General features: G+C 37.2%; 1 protein-coding gene across 17 annotated transcripts in view; it reads left to right on the top strand.

The window, feature by feature from the left end:
• RPS6KA3 (ribosomal protein S6 kinase A3) overlaps nucleotides 1–20,509 on the top strand; it is a 117,187-nt gene that overhangs the window by 70,220 nt on the left and 26,458 nt on the right. For 11 of the 17 annotated variants that reach the window (XM_017029719.3, XM_047442335.1, NM_001438340.1 and 8 more), the window contains 8 exons: nucleotides 1,733–1,813; nucleotides 2,610–2,689; nucleotides 3,285–3,391; nucleotides 8,344–8,381; nucleotides 8,908–9,050; nucleotides 10,512–10,582; nucleotides 19,794–19,882; nucleotides 20,380–20,444. In XM_017029719.3, coding sequence (XP_016885208.1) covers nucleotides 1,733–1,813; nucleotides 2,610–2,689; nucleotides 3,285–3,391; nucleotides 8,344–8,381; nucleotides 8,908–9,050; nucleotides 10,512–10,582; nucleotides 19,794–19,882; nucleotides 20,380–20,444 — 674 coding nt within the window. Of the gene's footprint in view, nucleotides 1–1,732; nucleotides 1,814–2,609; nucleotides 2,690–3,284; nucleotides 3,392–8,343; nucleotides 8,382–8,907; nucleotides 9,051–10,511; nucleotides 10,583–19,793; nucleotides 19,883–20,361; nucleotides 20,445–20,509 lie in introns of all 17 variants that reach the window. The other 6 variants (XM_011545561.3, XM_011545556.2, XM_011545555.2 and 3 more) reach the window with 1 other exon arrangement.

The raw sequence follows: 20,509 nt of genomic DNA, 5'->3' as shown, positions 1-20,509 counted from the left end.
ACAGCGATATCCTATCTCAAAAAAAAGGGGGCATATCAGATATAACAAGGAAAATACCAGAGTTGTAGCGATCGGGCAAGGTAATGAAATCAGAGATTGCTATTGAATTTGATATACTAACTGGACAGGTCAGTTAAAAGAGCTGCGTAGACATCAAGAGCAATTGATTCCTATTTCTGATTTGCCCATTTTCAGTCAGTGGTATGAAAATCTCCCAGTTGGGGATAGAAAACTGGTAGAATGGAAAAAATAGGGCATTTTTTAGCTGCTTTGTTTATTTTCCCCAGAGGTCTTATTTCTATATTTTAAATATCTGCAGTCACCCTAAACTGAAAATAAAACCAACTCAACTTTCTCCCTCCTCCAAAGATTGTCCTATTCTTTCCATTTTCATGTTTCATATAACCATTCAGAGTACTTAGAATGTATTATAATCATTTATTTACCTGTCTGTCCTTCCCACTAGATCATGAGCTTCTTGAAGATTATCTTATTTGTATGTATATCCCTAGTGCATTGCACATACACTTTGCTCAGGAAATATTTGGTTGCTGAAAAAGAGCTTTGCTCACAGGGTCAAATATAAATTCATCTTGGCATTCCAACTTCTCAAGAATCTGGATCCTCCCCATTTCGCCTTGGCGCAGTAGTAAATCTCATTTGGTTCCTTCCTGTTTGTCATTCATGCCTTCACATCTTTGCTTACACTGGGTACTCCATGCTTGGACTCTTGTTTTCTAGGGCCTATCCTTCCTACCCATCTAAATGCCACTCCAAAAGTCTTAAAGCTTGCTCCCTGACCCTACATCTTTCTTCTAGCCTTCCTATGCAAGTAAGACTGATCTTGCCCTTCTCTGAATCCTGCAGTACTCATTGCTGGTAGTAAATTGTTTTATCCCTTAATCATATTCATGGTGCTACTTTGCATATAATAACAATAGCTACTATTTAATTGAATATCTCATACATACCAGGCTCTAGGTACATACCTTATCTCAAATGGTCATATGCTCCTCAAAGCTACAGTAGTGTTATCCCCATTGTGTAGCCGAAAGGTAACTGAGTCTCAAAGAATTTAAATAAGTATCTTGCTCGTGATTGTACAGATCTTGTGATGCTTAAGTTTTTTTCAAAAAAAAGATTACACAGATCTGAATTCATATCTTTCTGTCTAAACTCCAGAAAACATTTGCTCTTTCAGCTATACCACAGTATGTTCTCTCTCTCCCTCTTGCTTCCTTTCTTCTTCCCTCAAAATAGACCTCTTTGGATATAACTGTCCTTTACCCCATGTCTGCCTCATTTTAGGTATGCTTAATGAATGTTTGTTGAGTTTAATTGATAGGACTGATGGAATGTTGAAACCTATTCATTTTTTATGTTTTACTGTTTCATTAGGATGCCTTGTTTTTTAAAAGTTGCATGCTTTTTTGCCATTTTCCACAGCTGTGATTAAAATACTTGTGCATTTGATGTTAAAGCCAATACCTAATATTTTCTCTATATTTTTTCCAACTTAAAAGCATGGATTTTATAAATATATGCAACTTCCTTTGGTTATGTAATGTAGTAAAAGACATCATTATTGATTTTGTAAATTCAAGAATGATAAAACATTCACATTTTAATACACATAAGCAAAATTTTATTTAACATGGGCACCAAAAAGAATTTGTTTTGAAGATTATCTTTGAAAGATATTACAATGTAGCATACATACAATCTTTTATAGTTCGAGACCGAGTTCGGACAAAAATGGAACGTGATATCTTGGTAGAGGTTAATCATCCTTTTATTGTCAAGTTGCATTATGGTAAGTATGAGCCGTCTCCCACATCATCCCTTGACCTCATCCCTCAAAATCCCTGAGGACATTCAGATAAACTAATATAAATAAATATATATTTGTATGTGGTTAGCAGATCTATATAGTAATAAGTCATGAAAATTAAGCCATTATTTCTTAGACAAACTTTAGAAGCTTTTATTGTTTAGTTTATGTTTTTTTTAAATATTATAAAGTTAGTTTCTGAGTGGTAGCCATAGGAACAGGTAATGATAATTATTGCTTTTTTATTATAATAATAATGAGTAATAATATGCTAGCCTTTTGTAGCCTATATGTGTTAGCCAACCCTAAAGGCCAAAGAGATCCCTAATGTCAACATCCTAAAACCATTGTCACTGCTGTTCTTTTCCCCGAAGCCATATGCTTTTTCTCAGTGGGTAAAGGTGTGGTGATTCTTACTATGTGTAATTAAACCTAACCAACCCATATTTTTTTCTGTAGCTAGTGGCATGGTTTTTGTATGTTATTTCGTAGTTAAGTAAGTCTTTTTTTTTAGGAGGTTTTCTTATGTATCATGGGTTTAGAACTATTGTATTCCTGAGTGACTTGCCTGTTGAAAATCTAGTGATTCCATAATAAGAAACACTGTATTTAACATTTCCACATGGAAACTAAGATAAATCAGTGGTTTTCTTCTAAGTAAAAGTAAGTTTGGACATTTGATATAATTAATTTGTTAAAATATTCATTTATGAATGACCTAATGTAAACCTAAAAAAATTATGGTGGACTAAATGAAAATTTTCATTTCTTCATTCAGCTTTTCAAACTGAAGGGAAGTTGTATCTTATTTTGGATTTTCTCAGGGGAGGAGATTTGTTTACACGCTTATCCAAAGAGGTATATAATTAATCTCTATTTTTAGTCTATTTACATGCATCCTGTTTGAACTAAAGCTTTGTTATGTTTCAGTATTATGCTTACTGTATTTTCTCTAGTGGCACAAGATTCTGGAAGAATCAGACCCAAAAAGAGTTCTTTTCCTACCTTTTGAATTTATTCTGAAAGCAGGACTTTAAATTGACAAATAAACAGTCTTTGTCTTAACCCTGCTTCTTTTATAGTTTTTTCCAGAAGCAATAATGTATCAACAAGATATCCTTAAACAATTAGTACTAGAAATTAAGCATGCATTTTAAAGATCACTTTTCATTTCTAAAATGTTACTGTCATGGGACAACAGTGGCACACCCTGAATATACTTAACAATAAAATGTAAAATTATTTCTCCCATAGTGCATAGTTAGTATTTAGTAAGTGATTGGTTGACTGATTAGATAATTTTGCTATTCCTTTCACGAATAAATTGTAAACAAAGCTATGTATAATTATCATATTTATAAAATTTTTAGGATATTTAAACTCTAGAGTGGAACTTTAAAAATTACAGACACAAAAAGAAAATAAATTTAGAAAAATTATTGTTTTATTTTAGGTGATGTTCACAGAAGAAGATGTCAAATTCTACTTGGCTGAACTTGCACTTGCTTTAGACCATCTACATAGCCTGGGAATAATTTATAGAGACTTAAAACCAGAAAAGTAAGGAATCATGCTACTAAGTTGAATACAATGTAATATGATTGTTTAGGAGATTATAAAAAATCAAGTGGCTTCATGAAACTCCCACAGTATTGCACTAGCGTGCCTGTGCTTCACATCTCTGCTAACACTGTAGTTTCATACTTTAAAAATCTCAGTTAATCAAAAAATACTGTTTTTGTGTGCATTCTTTGATTTTTTTTTTTTAAAGATGGAGTTTTGCTCTTGTTGCCCAGGCTGGAGTGCAGTGGCGCAATCTCAGCTCACTGCAATCTCCACCTCCCAGATTCAAGCAATTCTCCTGCCTTAGCCTCCCGAGTAGCTGGGATTACGGGCGCCTGCCAACACACCCAGCTAATTTTTGTATTTTTAGTAGAAACAGGGTTTCACCATGTTGGCCAGGCTGGTCTCGAACTCCTGACCTCAGGTGATCCACCTGCCTCAGCCTCCCAAAGTATTGGGATTACAGGCGTGAGCCACCACAGCCATCCCATTCTTTGATTTTTTAATGAGGTTGAAATCTGCATTCATTGGCAATTTGTATTTTTGTGTGAATTTTCTGCTCATGGCCTTTGTTCATTTTTCTTTCAGAATGTTATTTTTGGTCTGGCATGGTGGCTCACACATGTAACCCGAGCACTTTGGGAGGCTGAATTGCATGAGCCCAGGAGTTGTAGACCAGTGTGGGCAACATGGCAAAACCCCATCTCTACAAAAAATTAGCTGGGCATGGTGGCACATGCCTGTAGTCCCGACTACTCAGGAGGCTGAGGCAGGAGGATTGCTTGAGCTTGGGGCATCGAGGCTGCAGTGAGCCAAGATCGCTCTGTTGCATCTCCAGCCTGGGCAACAGAGTGAGACCCTGTCTCAAAAAAAAAAAAAAAAAAAAAAAAAGAAAATTTACATTTTTTTCCAGTCTTTCAATTTTAACTTTATGTTGTTTAATTTATGCACGTTTTTTTCTTCAGGCAGATCTACCAATCTTCTTTTGTGATTTATTCTGACTCTCATTCTTAGGCTTTCCCCAGTTCTATGATCAGATATTTTCCTTCTAATTTTATAGTTTCTTTTTTTTTTTCTTTTAGCTCCATTGTTTAGAAATTTTTTGGCAGGAGGGATGGTATAAAGCTAATCCTTTCTTTCCCCCAAATACCATTTATTGAAAATTTTCTTCTCCATGTAATTTCAAATTTTAAGTGTGAACTGAGCAAATTTCCCACAGGTTTGATAGTAACAGTCATCAAGAATCGGATATTATTTAAATTGTACACACTTCCGTTTTAATTTGTTGATGTTTATCTACCACTGAGTAAGAAAGTTTTTTTTTTCCTTTTATAAGCATATAAGCACGAGCCTTGCTCTACCAGGAATATTTTTAAACAGCTTTATTGAGTTGTAATTCATATATTATACAAGTCATTGCCTGGGTGCAGTGGATCACACCTGTAATCCCAGCACTTCGGGAGACCAAGGCAGGCAGATCACTTGAGGTCAGGAGTTTGAGACCAGCCCGGCCAACATGGTGAAACCCCGTCTCTATTAAAAATACAAAACTTGGCCAGGTGTGGAGGGGCACACCTGTAATCCCAGCTACTGGGAGACTGAGGCAGGAGAATCGCTTGAATCCGGGAGGTGGAGGTTGCAGTGAGCTGAGATCGCGCCATTGCACTCCAGCCTGGGTGACAAGAGCGAAACTCAGTCTCAAAAAAAAAGAAGTGTATAATTCATTGATTTTTAGTATATTCACAGAGTTGTACAACCATCATATTAAGAATTTTGAATATTTCTCTCGGATATGAACAGACACTTCTCAAAAGAAGACATTTATGTGGCAAACAAACATATGAAAGAAAAGCTCATCATCCCTGGTCATTAGAGAAATGCAAATCAAAACCACAATGAGATACCATCTCACGCCAGTTAGAATGGCGATCATTAAAAAGTCAGGAAACAACAGATGCTGGAGAGGATGTGGAGAAATAGTACCGCTTTTACACTGTTGGTGGGAGTGTTAATTAGTTCAACCATTGTGGAAGACAGTGTGGCGATTCCTCAAGGATCTAGAACCAGAAATACCGTTTGACCCAGCAATCCCATTACCATGTATATACCCAAACGATTATAAATCATTCTACTATAAAGACACATGCACACGTATGTTTATTGCAGCACTATTCACAATAGCAAAGACTTGGAACCAACCCAAATGCCCATCAATGATAGACTGGATAAAGAAAATGTGGCACATATACACCATGGAATACTGTGCAGCTATAAAAAATGCTGAGTTCATGTCCTTTGCAGGGACATGGATGAAGCTGGAAACCATCATTCTCAGCGAACTAACACAGGAACAGAAAATCAAACACTGCATGTTCTCACTCATAAGTGGGAGTTGAACAATGAGAACACATGGACACAGGGAGGGGAACACCACACACCGGGGCCTGTCAGGAGTTAGGGGGCTAGGGGAGGGATAGCATTAGGAGAAATGCCTAATGTAAATGACGGGTTAATGGGCGCAGCAAACCACCATGGCATGTGTATACCTATGTAACAAACCTGCACGTTCTGCACATGTATCCTAGAACCTAAAGCATAATAAAAAAAAAAAAAAGTTAGTACAAAATTTAAATTCTGTATTAACACAGGAAGAGAGGAAATGCTCATCTGGAACTCTTCTAAGTGATCATTTAGAAATTGTTATGCTTTTATATTTTATGTTTTTTTTATTGTTTTTGGATAAGTTTCATATGGTTTTGTTTTTATTCCCCAAATAACTGCTGAGTTTTCCTGATTATTTTCCCAACTTATAACTATTGTGACACAAAATATAATTATTGGTGAGAATGAATATTCAAGCATATAGTCCTTAGAAAAATTACTATAAACATAAGATTAAACATTCATAAAAATGTGTGTTTTATACTATTTAATTGAATATATTTACCATAGACCATTGTATTGGCATTGGTCATAAAGTTACATTAAAGTATGAGCCCTGTCTCAAGGCTTTAATAAGATCAGATGTAAATAAGATTGCTTATATTAAGATCTTAAACATACATGTCTAGATGATGCTATTAATTAGAAATAACACTTACTTGGTGAATTATACAAGTAAATACCATCATACAGAACTTGGGAGAAATTTAAATTTTTAGGCCAAATATTTTATGAACTGTTAAGGGTTTTTCAGATTCTTTTAAACTAGAACTCTGTTGTAATAAATATGACTAAAAATTAGTAACCATTGAAAAGGAATGTTGTTTATTGAGAGTGATACAGTTGACTTTTTCTTTCAAAGATACAGTATAAGCATGGTTATCTTAGAAGAATGCATTTGCTACAGAAGGCGTAACTAATGCCCTTTCAGCCATATTATCCTTTTTTCTTTCAGAATTACCGAGAATGACTTGAAGTTTTGTTTTTAGAACTGTTTTTCATGTATTCACTAGAAGGGAGGATGATTTCTACAGTACCTAATAATGCCCTTTATACTCTCTAAATGTGTTGATCTCTTCATAATCAAGCAGAATCAATATTAATATTTTTCATAACAGGTGCTTATGATAAAAGAAACTTGAAAAACATGTCCCTACTGAATTACCTTCAGTGGTAAACTTTGTTGTAATTATGTTTGCATTTATGAAATAGAAAGATTGGTAATATTTTTGTTATAGTAAAATTTTATAACAAAGTTTGACTTGCACATTTTTAGTTAAAATAAAAGTAAGGAAATGCCTATATTGTGGGATAGCTTTAAATATAAGTGAAACAGTTTATTGCTTGATCCCATACCTATCCAGAAATATTAGGTTGGTGCAAAAGCAATTGCAGTTTTTGCCATTACTTTTAATTACTTCTGCACCAACTTAACACAATTATTGGCTTACAGCTTAGTACTCTCTCCTTTCTGTAGCTCCTTGATTAATAGCATTACTCTCCACTCAAGTATCTGCTCAAGCCAGAAACCTGAGTGTCATTCTCCAGTTGTTCTTTATCATGACCCAGTGAGCTCACTAAATGCCCTTTATTTTCTCTGTAAATTTCTCTACCCTCCATGAATGTACACCATTTATGGTCTCCCTTGTCCTTGACAAGAAGCCCAAACTATTTGGAATGCCCTGTAGGCCCTTTGCAAACAGGCCTTATTCATTCAACATTTCTTGTTTGTACTGTACACTGCCAGACACTGAGCTATAAAGATGAATAAGGTCAAACCTTCTAGGAGCTCACAGTTTATTGGGGAAGAGAGAAAACCCTGGAGAATATGTATAGTGAAGGGAGGGGTCAATGAAAAACAAGGAGTATGGGGAAGGAGAAGAGGATTGTGTAGGTTGTGTCAGGAAAAAAAAAATAAGGAAACAATGATTGAGTCAGATACCTTTAAAATGACCAAGAGAGCTGGGCACGCAGTGGCTCACACCTTAGGGAGTAATCCCAGCACTCAGGGAGGCAGAAGCAAGAAGATAGCTTGAGCCCAGCAGTTCAAGACCTGCCTGGGCAACATAGTGATACCCTATTCTCCACAAAAAGGAAAAAAAGGCAAAATAAAATAACCAAGAGAATGACATGTCTGATGTTTTTGAATTAAATGTGTGGACCCTCTGTCTATTAATGCAGGCACTAGGGGGTTTAGTCAAACTACGTCTGCAGAAAGGCATTAGAAAGAGCAGCTGGGAAGAGTACAGGTGATTTGATTCTTTTCCTAATAATTTTCAAGTGCCCCTGGCATATTAATACAAGTTTATGGCATTGCCTTTGGGCTTTGTTATAAATGTGTGTCCAAAAAATAATTTGTTCCTCCTTTGCCTTTGCCATCTTATTCACAGTCTAAAGCAATGTTTTAGAGTAAATGTGGTGATCTGATGCTTAAGGATGTAATTTCAGTCTTAGCTTCTATAAATCTCTATTTAGTGTTCTTAAAAGATTTTCTTTGTTTTTTTCAGTATACTTCTTGATGAAGAAGGTCACATCAAGTTAACAGGTAAAAAAAAAATCCTCGTTTTATTAAAATATTTTCTCCTACAATATATACTTTCCTTTAAGGTTGATTGTGGTACAAATATTGAGTAATACACTGTATTAAAATTAAAAACTTGTATTAGGGCCAGGCGTAGTGGCTCACCCCTGTAATCCCAGCATTCTGGGAGGCTGAGGCAGGTGGATCACTTGAGGTCGGGAATTCAAGACTAGCCTGGCTAACATGGTGAAACCCTGTTTCTACTTAAAATACAAAAAAATGAGCTGGGCATGGTGGTGCACGCCTGTAATCCCAGTTACTTGGGAGGCTGAGGCAGGAGAATCACTTGAACCCGGGAGGCAGAGGATACAGTGAGCCAAGATGGCGTCACTGTACTCCAGCCTGGGTGACAGAGCGAGACTCTGTCTCAAAAAACAAACAAACAAAAAAAACTTGTATTAGAAATTTTAAATGATTAATGTCAGAACTCAAAGTTTAAAATTTACATGTGCAAATTTATGTAGGATATTTATGATATTTGTTTTGGCAGATTTCGGCCTAAGTAAAGAGTCTATTGACCATGAAAAGAAGGCATATTCTTTTTGTGGAACTGTGGAGTATATGGCTCCAGAAGTAGTTAATCGTCGAGGTCATACTCAGAGTGCTGACTGGTGGTCTTTTGGTGTGTTAATGGTAAGGTTTGAATTTGGGATTTTTTAGAGGGGAAGGAGATTGTTAAGTGAGGATCAGCAGTGAATGTTAAAGAAACTGGTGTTTTTATTTTCTTTATTTTATGCCATATGTAATAAATAACCAAGAAACATTATTGCATGCAGTATAGAAGGACTATGAAATCTGTTAGCTGCGTCTATCTCATCCTAATTTGAAAGGGCAAAAAAAAATATTACCATAGATTTCCTGCTAATAGTAACAATCTAAAGCATTAATGGTGTTTGGTCTTTTGGAGAAACTGGTCCAGAAATCTGTTAGTAAGTGACCCTTAAAATAAGTTCGTTTGGCCGAGTGCAGTGGCTCACACCTGTAATCCTAGCACTTTGGGAGGCTGAGGCGGGTAGATCACCTGACGTCAGGAGTTCAAGACCGGCATGGCCAACATGGCAAAACCCCATCTCCACTAAAAATACAAAAAGTAGCTGAGCAGGATGGCACACACCTCAGGAGGCTGAGGCTGGAGAATCGCTAGAACCTGGGAGGCAGAGGTTGCAGTGAGCCAAGATCATGCCATTGCACTCCAGCCTGGGCAACAGAGCGAGACTCTGTCTCAAAAAATATATAGTAAGTTCTGCCGGGCGCGGTGGCTCACGCCTGTAATCCCAGCACTTTGGGAGGCCGAGGCAGGTGGATCACTTAAAGTCAGGAGTTCGAAACCAGCCTGGCCAACATGGTGAAACCCCGTTTCTACTAAAAATACAAAAATCAGGCTGGGCGTGGTGGCTCATGCCTGTAAGACCAGCCTGGACAACATGGTGAAACCCTGTCTCTACTACAACTACAAAAAATTAGCCAGGCATGGTGGCACACACCTGTAATCCCAGCTACTTGGGAGGCTAAGGCAGGAGAATCACTTGAACCCAGGAGACGGAGATTGCAGTGAGTGAAGATCGTGCCACTGCACTCCAGCCTGGGTGACAGAGTAAGACTCCGTCTCAAAAAAAATAAATAAGTTCATATGAAATTGGCATATCTATCAAATTGTTCACATATCTACACTTTAAAATTGCCATTTGAAATGTGATTGATGAAGCTGAGCATGGTGGCCCATGCCTCTAATCCCAGCACTTTGAGAGGCTGAGGTGGGAGAATTGCTTGAGCCCAGGAGATGGAAGCTTCAGTGAGCTGAGATTGCACCACTGGGCTCCAGCCTGGGCAACAGAGCCAGGCCCTGTCTCAAAAAAAAAATAAAATAAAAATGTGATTGATTTCTACAAAAAAAAAAAAACTGTATAGCTCAGTTGTTTTAGGAATTATCAAGAACTTCAGTAACGAATATGGTAGAAATAGAAAACACTTGTTATGTAGCAATTTTAGAATATTTGGTTATAATTAAAATGATGCTTTTTTTTTTTTTTACCTTCTGGCCTTCAGATTTTATATTTATTGACTAACACTTCTGATTATTTTGCCTTTCTGTAGTTTGAAATGCTTACTGGTACACTCCCTTTCCAAGGAAAAGATCGAAAAGAAACAATGACTATGATTCTTAAGTAAGTACTCCCTTAATATAGATGTTTTGATGAGATTTTAAAATAAATGCTTCAGGCTGGGCGCTGTGGCTCATGCCTGTAATCCCAGCACTTTGGGAGGGCAAGGAAGACGGATCACTTGAGATCAGGAGTTTGAGACCAGCCTGGCCAACATGGTGAAACCCCATCTCTACTAAAAATACAAAACTTAGCCGGGCATGGTGGTACACACCTGTAGTCTCAGCAGTACTCAGGAGGCTGAGGTGGGAGAATCCCTTGAACCCGGGAGGTGGAGGTTGCAGTGAGCTGATATCACACCACTGCACTCCATCCTGGGCAACAGAGCGAGACTCTATCTCAAAAAAGTAAAATAAAATAAATGTTTCACACTAAAAAATGAGATTTTAGAGTGTTGGCTGTAGTATAAGAAATAACTAAGAAATTCATCAATATTACGTGGTTTGAATATGAACAGACTGCGTAGATTTAGAGTACTCATATTATCTTCATGTTAATAGTGAAATACTGAAAGCTTTACTTTTGGGATTTGTAATATGGCAAGGATGCCCATTATTTCACTTCTGTCCACATTGTCCTGGAAGTCCTAGCCAATATGGTAAGTCAAGCAAAAAAGTAAAGTATAAGGTTTAAAAAGAAGAAATAAAATTATCATTATTTAGATAACATGACTGTATCCATAGAAGATCCAGTCATCAGCCTGCACAACATAGCAAAACCCCATCTCTACAAAAAAATGCAAAAATTAGCCAGGCATGTTGGTAAGCACCTGTAGTCCCAGCTACTTTGTGGGGTGGCAGATGGGGGCTAAGACAGGAGAATCATTTGAGCCCAGGAGCTTGAGGCTACAGTGAGCTGAGATGGTTCTACTGCACCCCAGCCTGGGTGACAGAGCAAAACCCTGTCTCAAAAAAGAAAAGAAAAGAAAAGAAAATCCAGTGATCATATAAATTCTTAGAATTAATAAGAGTTTAGCAAAGTTACTGGATACAAGGTCAATAAACAAAAATCTATTCCATGTCTCTATACTAGGAATAGAAAATGGAATTTTTATCCGGGCACAGTGGCTCACACCTGTAATCCCAGCACTTTGGCAGGCCGAGGCAGGCAGATCACCTGAGGTCCAGAGTTCGAGACCAGCCTGGCCAACATGGCGAAACCCTGTCTCTACTAAAAATAGAAAAAATTATTCGGGCATGGTAGCAGGTGCCTGTAATCCCAACTACTCGGTAGGCTGAGGCAGGAGAATCACTTGAACCCGGGAGGCAGAGGTTGCAGTGCGCCAAGATCATGCCACTGCACTCCAGCCTGGGCAATAAGAGTGAAATTTCATCTCAAAAAAAAAATGGAATTTTCAAAGAGGACAGTGTTTACAACAATGTAAAAATTCTCAGATACCTAGTGATAAATCTAGCAGAAGTTGTGTAAGACCTCTGTGCAAAAAAACCAGAAAATTTTATTTAAAGAAATTTTAAAAGACCAAAATAACTTGAAAGAATATACCATGTTCATGTTATGACAGACCCAGTGTTGTAAAGATAACATTTTTATAGATCAGTGTTATCCACTAGAAATATAATGTGAACCAGCCAGGCATGGTGGCTCATGCCTATAATCCCACCACTTTGGGAGGCCGAAGTGGGCAGATTGCTTGAGCCCAGGAGTTTGAGACCAGCTTGGGCAACATGGCAAAACCCCATCTCTACAAAAATAAAAGATAAAAAAATTAGCCAGATGTGGTGGCACGTGCCAGTAGTCCCAGCCACTTGGGAGGCTGAGGTGAGAGGATCACTTGAGCCTGGGAGGTCAAGACTGCAGTGAGCCCTGATCACACCACTACACTCCAACCTGAGCAACAGAGTGAAGAGCGAGACCCTGTCTCAAAAAAAAAAAAAAAAAAAGAAAAGTAATGCGAACCACATACGTAATTTTAAGTTTTCTAGTACCTACATTTAAAAAAGTAAAAAGAGGCAGGTAATCCCAGCACTTTGGGAGGCCAAAGCGGGTGGATCACCTGAGGTCAGGAGTTCGAGACCAGCCTGGCCAACATGGCAAAACCCTGTCTCTACTAAAAATACAAAAATTAGCTGGGCGTGGTGGCACACACCTGTAATCCCAGCTACTTGGGAAGCTGAGGCAGGAGAATCACTTGAACCCGGGAGGCGGAGGTTGCAGTGAGCTAAGATCATGCCGCTGCACTCCAGCCTGGGTGATGAATGAAATTCATCTCAAAAAATAAAAAAAATAAAAAAGTAAAAGGAAAGTTAATTGTAATATTTTATTTAACCCAGTGTACCCAAGATGTTATTTCAGCATGTAACCAATGTTAAAAATTGATTGAGGTATTTGTTGTAAACTAATTTTTTTCATACTCATTTGAAATTCAATGTGTATTTTACACTTACAATGTGGATTGGCACATTTCAGGTGCTCAGTAGCCATATGTAGCTAGTGGCTACTATAATGGATGACAAAACTATAGTTTCAATGCAAATAAAATTAAAATCCTAACAACTTTTTAATGTGAATCTTGATAAACTGATTCTAATATGATAATACAAAGGACAAAGAGTAGCTAAAATACTCTCGAAGACCAAGATAGGAAGACTTGCTTTACCAGGTATTAAGTCTTATTATAACAGTAACTAAGATAATACAGCATTGAAACAAGTGTGGAAAGTAGATCTATGCAAAAGAATAAAGAACCCAGAAACAGATCTATATATGTGGACACTTAATTTGCGACCATTGGGAATTTCAGAGCAGTAGGGAAAGAATAGCCTTTTCTTAATAAATCATGCTGGAAAAGTTAAATATTCGTATAAAAAATAGGCAGGGAGTGGTGGCTCACACCTGTAATCCAAACACTTTGGGAGGCTGAGGTGGGAGGATCACTTGAGGCCATGAGTTAAAGAATATAAAAATTATCCAGGTGTGGTAGTGCACACCTGTAGTCCTAGCTACTTGGGAGGCTGAGGTGGGAGAATCGCTTGAGCCCAGGAGGTCAAGGATGCAGTGAGCCATGATCATGCCACTGCACTCCAGCCTGGGTAATAGAGCAAGATCGTGTCTCAAAAAAAATTTGCTTTAAAAGAATTAAAAATTTTTTTTAAAATTCCTACCTTCCACCATACATAAAAATCATTACCAATCTATCTAGAACCCCAATCAATAAGAAAAAGCCAACCCAATAAAAACATGGGCAAGAGACTTAGGGATCTGACAGAAGAGGATATTCAATGGCCAAAAAACTTATGAAAAGATACTCAACCTCGTTAATCAGAAAATGCAAATTAAAATCACAAGGAAATATCACTGCATACTCACCAGAATGGCTAAAATTAAAAAGATTGACAGGAGCATTCTGAACCATTTTTGGCCCAGACTGCTGCCCTATACAAAAATTTTAATAAATAAAAATAAAAAGACTGACAGTACAAAATGGTGGGATGTGAAGCAGTGGCAACTTTTATACATAGCTGGAAGGAATATCAATACTCATATAACCACTTTGGAAAGCAGTTTTTGTCCTTATCTTCTAAAGACAAATATATGTATACCCTCATCCAGTAATTCCCACTCCTAGACATGCACCCATGTTAAAAGAATCTAGTTACTCACACATCAAAAAACAAGTACAAAGCCGTTCATAGCAACATTATTTGTAATAGCCAAAAAGTGGAAACCTGATTATTAACAGAAGAATCAATTAATAAATGATGGTATATTCGTACAGTCGAATACAATAGAAGTTGTTGTATTTACGCTCTGTGGGCCACACACAGTCTCTGTCACATATTCTTTGTATTTTTTTTCCAACCCTGTAAAAATATAAAACAATTCTTGAGAGCCATTCAAAAACAGGCTGAAGCCTTGGCGCATGGGTGTAGTATGCCATACAACAAAGAAAATGAACAAACCACAGTTACATGCAACAACTTAGATAAATCTCACAAGAATGTGGAGCTAAGGAAGTACAGACACAAAAGAAAAAGTACTATATGATTCTATTTGTAAAGTTTACAAAGCAGGCAAAACTAAAGCATAGTTTTTAGGGTTCATATTTAGATGGTTAAAAGCCTGAGGCAAAATAAGGGAAGTGGTTACACTGGATGAGGGGTTCTGGCAATGTTATGTGTCTTGGCCAGATAACTATTCAGTTTGTGGTAAATAATTGAGCTGTGTACTTTGGGTGTTTTTGTTCGGGGTTTTTTGGGGCATTTTATATTATTCTACACAATATAAAAGGTCTAAAAAGATGTGCTACATAAATGAATGTTCACTGAACTTTCATCACTGAACCTTTATCACTTCATCTACTTTGATCCCTCCCTTTCAGCGAACAAACACTCTCGTGTTGAAGAAACTAAATCCTTCTTTGACTTGGCCTTCCTTTCAAGTTACTGTACCATCTTCCTGCATCCTTTCAACACAAAGCCTCTTTAAAAAGTAGTCTATGCTTTCTGTTACTACTTTTTTGGCTTCTTTTATTCCACAGCCTATTTGTCATTCATCCCCACCACTCTACTGAAACTGCTCTCTCTGTGGCTATCAGTGATCTTCTGGTTGCTAAAACCAGTGGCAGGTTGTCAAAAGGATGACTCTACCATTCATTCACACAATTCATTTAACAGATGTTTCAGTTCTTGCTACTCATACTTGAGATGTAGTATTAACAAGACTGAAAAGGTCTTTGGTGGTCTTCAGAGCTTATATTTTAGTGGGGGAGACAAGGAATTAATATCTAAACAATTTCAGATAGTAATAGGAGATATAAGGATAATAAATCGGAATTCTGTACTCATAATAGTGACTCCTTACTGTGTGAGGGAAGGAGCAGAAAGCAGGAGCCATATTAGATGGGACACTCAAGAAAGGCATCTCTGAGTATTTGACACTGGTGGCCACTCCCTCCCTCCATAGTTTTTCCTACTTTGATCTACTTCTTCCACCTCTCTAACCGTTCCCCTTTTGGTCTCTTTTACATGATTTCTTCTCTTCCTGTTTTTCCTTTTTTAATTATAAAAATTTTCAAATATGAACTATCAAAAATAGAATAATTCAGTGAACACATATACCTGTTACCCAGATTCGACATTTATCAAGATTTGGCCATTTTGCTTTATCTATTCTTTTTTTCTTTTCTTTACTGAAGTATTATAAGCATTCCAGACATATCTACTTAATTCAGTTTGCCTTGCTAAAAATATGGGTGTTTTCTTACACATCCACATAAAACTAGCAATAATGCTTAGGTATCATCAGTCCTTAACTAAGTTTTTCAGATTTTCTTCAAAACTGTGTCTTTACAGTTGGATCCAAATCAAGTCTGCACATTCCATTTGGTTGTACTTCTTAAACTTCTGTTATCTATCCCTGTTTTTCCCCTGCTGTTTATTCATAGAAACCTAGTCAGTTGTTTTATAGAACTCTGCTTTCTGGATTTATCTTGTCAAAGAATGAGACCCCCTCTCAATATCTGAAACAAAAAGCATAAAGTTTATTTTATTCTTTGCTATGGTAAGGCTAGAGTCTCCCCAAATATAGTAGACCACTAATCTTATATAGGGTTTTGAGGAAGGGTGGAGCTCAAGAAGTGGCAGAGTTTCATGTCTATAAGTGGGTTGACATTATCTGTAAGAATGTGATTATTTGGGTGGGACTGTTGTTGATCAGTGGGCATTCAGGTGTGTTTATTGGAGTGAGTCCATTCCTGTTTGGCTAATTTTCAGAGACAAAGAGCAGTTACTCATCTTTGCAGGTGTTCACCAGGCAAGTTGTCATTGATCAATTCAATGGATTTTAAACCAACTGAAAGGATTTAAAACCAGTTCTGGTGGTTCTCTTGTTACCATGGTTACATAACAATTAGTCTTTTCCTAGGAGTATGGAAATTTTTTTTTATTCCCTTAGTGTTATTAGCTTGATCCTCTATTCTGTTTTTGGTTAAACTGTTTTAGCAAGATTATTTCACAGCTAATACCGTGTGGTCCCTATTACATCAGGAGGCTTACAATACCTGGTTGCCCCCACTTTAAGTGATGGGCTCCAGTGGTTGCAGCTGATTCCTCCGTTGTAAAGTTCCCTGGCATGCTTTTAACTAATGGTTCTATCCATTAATAATCATTACTTGAAACAGTTATTTTATAAGGAATTCAAAAGTGATGAATTGCTTTTCTTTTAAAAAAAAAAAAAAAAGTTTAAATTTTGGAGATGAGGTCTTGCTCTGTTGCCCAGACTCGAATGCAGTGGCATGATTACAGCTCACTGCAACATCAAACTCCTGGGCTCAAACGATCCTCCTGCCTCAGCATCTGGAGTAGCTAGGACTACAGGTGCACCACCATGCCCAGCCAAGTTCTTTAATCTTTTGTACAGATGGTATCTTGCTATGTTGCCAGGCAGGTCTCAAACTCCTGGGCTCAAGTGATCCTCCCACCTCCGCCTCCCAAAGTGTTGGGATTACAGGCATGAGCCACTATGCACCAGCCATGATTTTCTATTATTATTATTATTCCTTCCTCATTTATTAGCTGGTATTTTCTCAACAAACTTTCCCTCATCAACTATGATGATTTAATTACTTGAAATAACGCTCATCCAAGAAAAAGAGAATAAATACTTAATTCTTTTCTTAAATTGTTTCTAATGTCAGAGCCCTAGTTACTTCCTAGTGGGGGTAGTATCCAGTGAGTCGAGTTTTTGTATTTTGACTTTGCTTTTTCTTACTTTACATAATAAACTCATGGGATTTAATAATCAGTGTGATTCAGCCAATTGCAGTCATTATTTTTAATGCCCTAATTGTTCTTTTTCTGACTACCTTTTAAATGGTCTTATCCCCCAGGATCCGTCTATGATATGCTTTTCTTCCCCCTCTGCACTCTTTCCTGACTGACTTCAGTCTTTCCTATAACTACCCTCCACATTTTAATTACTCTCAAATCACTCTTTCTTACATGAATTTACCAGGCATTAGACCTGTGTTTCTATTTACTCACCTGCCTGGCCCTCCCAAAACATATTACATGCATGACTTCACATCTTTGAACTAAATGTATCTTTATTTGCTGTTCTTTTCTTATACTCCCAGTTATCAGCATTTTCATGCACCCTCTTCCAAGCCAGAAACCAGGAAATCATTTTTTATTCCTTCTCTCTTTTGCATAATTAGGTATTCTCCAAATTCGATCTCAGAATTATTTCACTGTTCCAGCCTTTCCTCTGAATTAAACTGCTTAAAGTATTCAGAAAACAGTGACCTCTTACCCATACTATCTGACCACATTCCTAAGTTGATTGCCTACCACTTATGACCTCTTCCCACTCCAAATTGTTCTCTATTACCCTTGGAGTTACCTTCTTGAAAATAAGTCTAGTCATGTTAGTCCAGTTTCAGGACCTCTGCTGCATCCTTGTTACCTAATACAATAGTGTTTCCCCAGATTTGTCCAAGAGAATATTAATTCTACAAGATATTAATAGGTATTCTTTGAAAAAGAGGTGCTGGAAATAAATACTTAGAAAATACTGATTTCACCCATAATCCCAGCACTTTGAGAGGCTGAAGTGGGAGGATCACTTGAGGCTAGGAGTTCAAAACCAGCCTAGTCAACATGGCAAAACTCCATCTCTACAAAAAAAAAAAAAAAAAAAAAAAAAGCCAGGTGTGGTAGCACACACCTGTAATCCCAACTACTTGGGAGGCTGAGACACGAGAATCCCTTGAACCCAGAAGGCAGAGATTGCAGTGAGCCGAGATTGTGCCACTGCAGTCCAGCCTGGATACTCTGTCTTAAAAAAAAAAAAAAAAAAAACTGATTTGTTTGCTCTAGATTTCTCAGCCTTTTTATATGCAGTGTATTTTAATTCTGTGTGTCTAATAGGGGGATATAATAAATAGCATTCTACAAGCTCATTGGGTCATGAATTTTTTTATTGTTGCTAACTATCTAGAGGGATTAATGTTATTCAGTAAAATTTGGGGAAACACTAGCCAAATGAATAAATTGTTAGCCTTTAGATTGCATTGAAGACCTTTCATAATCTCCCATGTTAAATTAAATATCCCCTACTGTTCCCTTGTCACTCTTTGCATATGTTCTTCTGCATTTGTCTCTTAATGTACTAGCATTATCTGTATCCATCTTCACCATGGACCATGAGTTTCATGGGCTCTCTTTATCTCTGTATCCTCAGCACTAAACAGTGTCTGGCATGTAATAGCTCAATAACAACCCACTGAATAATAAATGGATCTGTTTCTGAAATAGGAATTTTCCCCAGCTCTATTATTATTGTCATACTTACAGGATCATTGGTTTCTTTAATTTGTAGGTTTGGAAAAAGAATTAAAATTAGAGCTGAAACAGACCTTCAAGTTCATCTAGGCCAGCAGTTTTTAGACTGTGTATCTTCAATATTTCACAATCCTCTTTCCCACAGTTCCCCTTCCCTTCAGGGGCTGTTAAAGGGAATAGAAAGGAAAAAGTGGCATATGAAACACATGTTCTCTTAGCAGCTTTAAATGTTAGGTTTCTTAAATTCCCTTTGAGGAGGAGTTCCGAGGCTATACTTTGGGAGCTATTGGTCTAGAGACCAATCCCTTTGCTTATGAAGAAATGATAACAGGCCCAGAATAATTGGCTTTCCCACTGTCACAAAGTTCTTAGTAACAGAGCCAGAACTAGGATTCAAATGATCTTACTTTCACAGTGCTCTTTGCAAAATTTTGAAAAATGAAAAAGCTTATTAGATTATGAACTAAAATTCAGTTATGTGTTCACATGAAAACCTGTACATAAATGTTCACTGTAGCTTTATTCATATTAGCCCCAAACTGGGCACAACCCAAATGTCCTTCAACAGATAATGGATAAATAAACTGTGACATATTCATACAGAAGCCATACATGTAATAAAATGGCATAGAACTAAACACACACACAAATAAGTGCAAATAAAACCAGTGCCATGTGAATGAGATCATTGGATTGTCTCCATGTCAATATCCTGGATGTGATATTGTACTGTAGTTTTGTAAGATGTTACCATTGGGGGAAACTGGGTAAAGGGCACAGGGGATCTCTCTGTATTATTTCTTACAACTGAGTGTGAATCTACAAGTATCTCAAAAAGTTTAATTTAAGAATTTTTAAAAATAAAAATACAGATGCCTCCAAAAAATAAAATATTATGTGGATTTATTATTTAGAGCCAAACTTGGAATGCCACAGTTTTTGAGTCCTGAAGCGCAGAGTCTTTTACGAATGCTTTTCAAGCGAAATCCTGCAAACAGATTAGGTAAAAATTTTAACTAATTTGTTTATGTTGTATGTTTGTTGGTGTTTGTTTTTAGCGGGGAGTAGATATTTGTTTTGTGGTGGAATTATTAACTATTTAGACAAGGCTAGGCCTGGTGGCTCACGCCTGTAATCCCAGCACTTTGGGAGACCAAGGCGGGAGAATTACTTGAGTCCAGGAGTTCAAGACCAGCCTGGGAAAAATGGCAAAACCTCATCTTTACAAAAAATACAAAAATTAGCCAGGCATGGTGGTGCGTGCCTGTAGTCCCAGCTACTCAGGAAGTTGAGGTAGGAGGATCACTTGAGCCTGAGAGGTTGAGGCTGCAGTGAACTGAGATCACACCACTGCGCTCCAGCCTGGGTGACAGAGCAAGCCCTTGTCTCAAAATTAATTAATTAATTAATTAATTAATTAGACAAGTATTGAAAACAAAGGCTGAGCAATATGTATATTTCTCCTTGAAATAAAATTATCAGTGAATCCATTTTTGATAGGTGCAGGACCAGATGGAGTTGAAGAAATTAAAAGACATTCATTTTTCTCAACGATAGACTGGAATGTAAGTATAGAATGAAAACTTGCTTGAAATATTTCTTTATAATTAAAATATGTCTAAGTCTCTTT

The sequence above is a fragment of the Homo sapiens genome, chromosome X, assembly GCF_000001405.40.
Source record: "Homo sapiens chromosome X, GRCh38.p14 Primary Assembly".
NCBI classification, from domain to species: domain Eukaryota; kingdom Metazoa; phylum Chordata; class Mammalia; order Primates; family Hominidae; genus Homo; species Homo sapiens.
The sequence above is the reverse complement of the archived record's forward strand: the minus strand, read 5'-3'. Positions and strand labels throughout refer to the sequence as shown.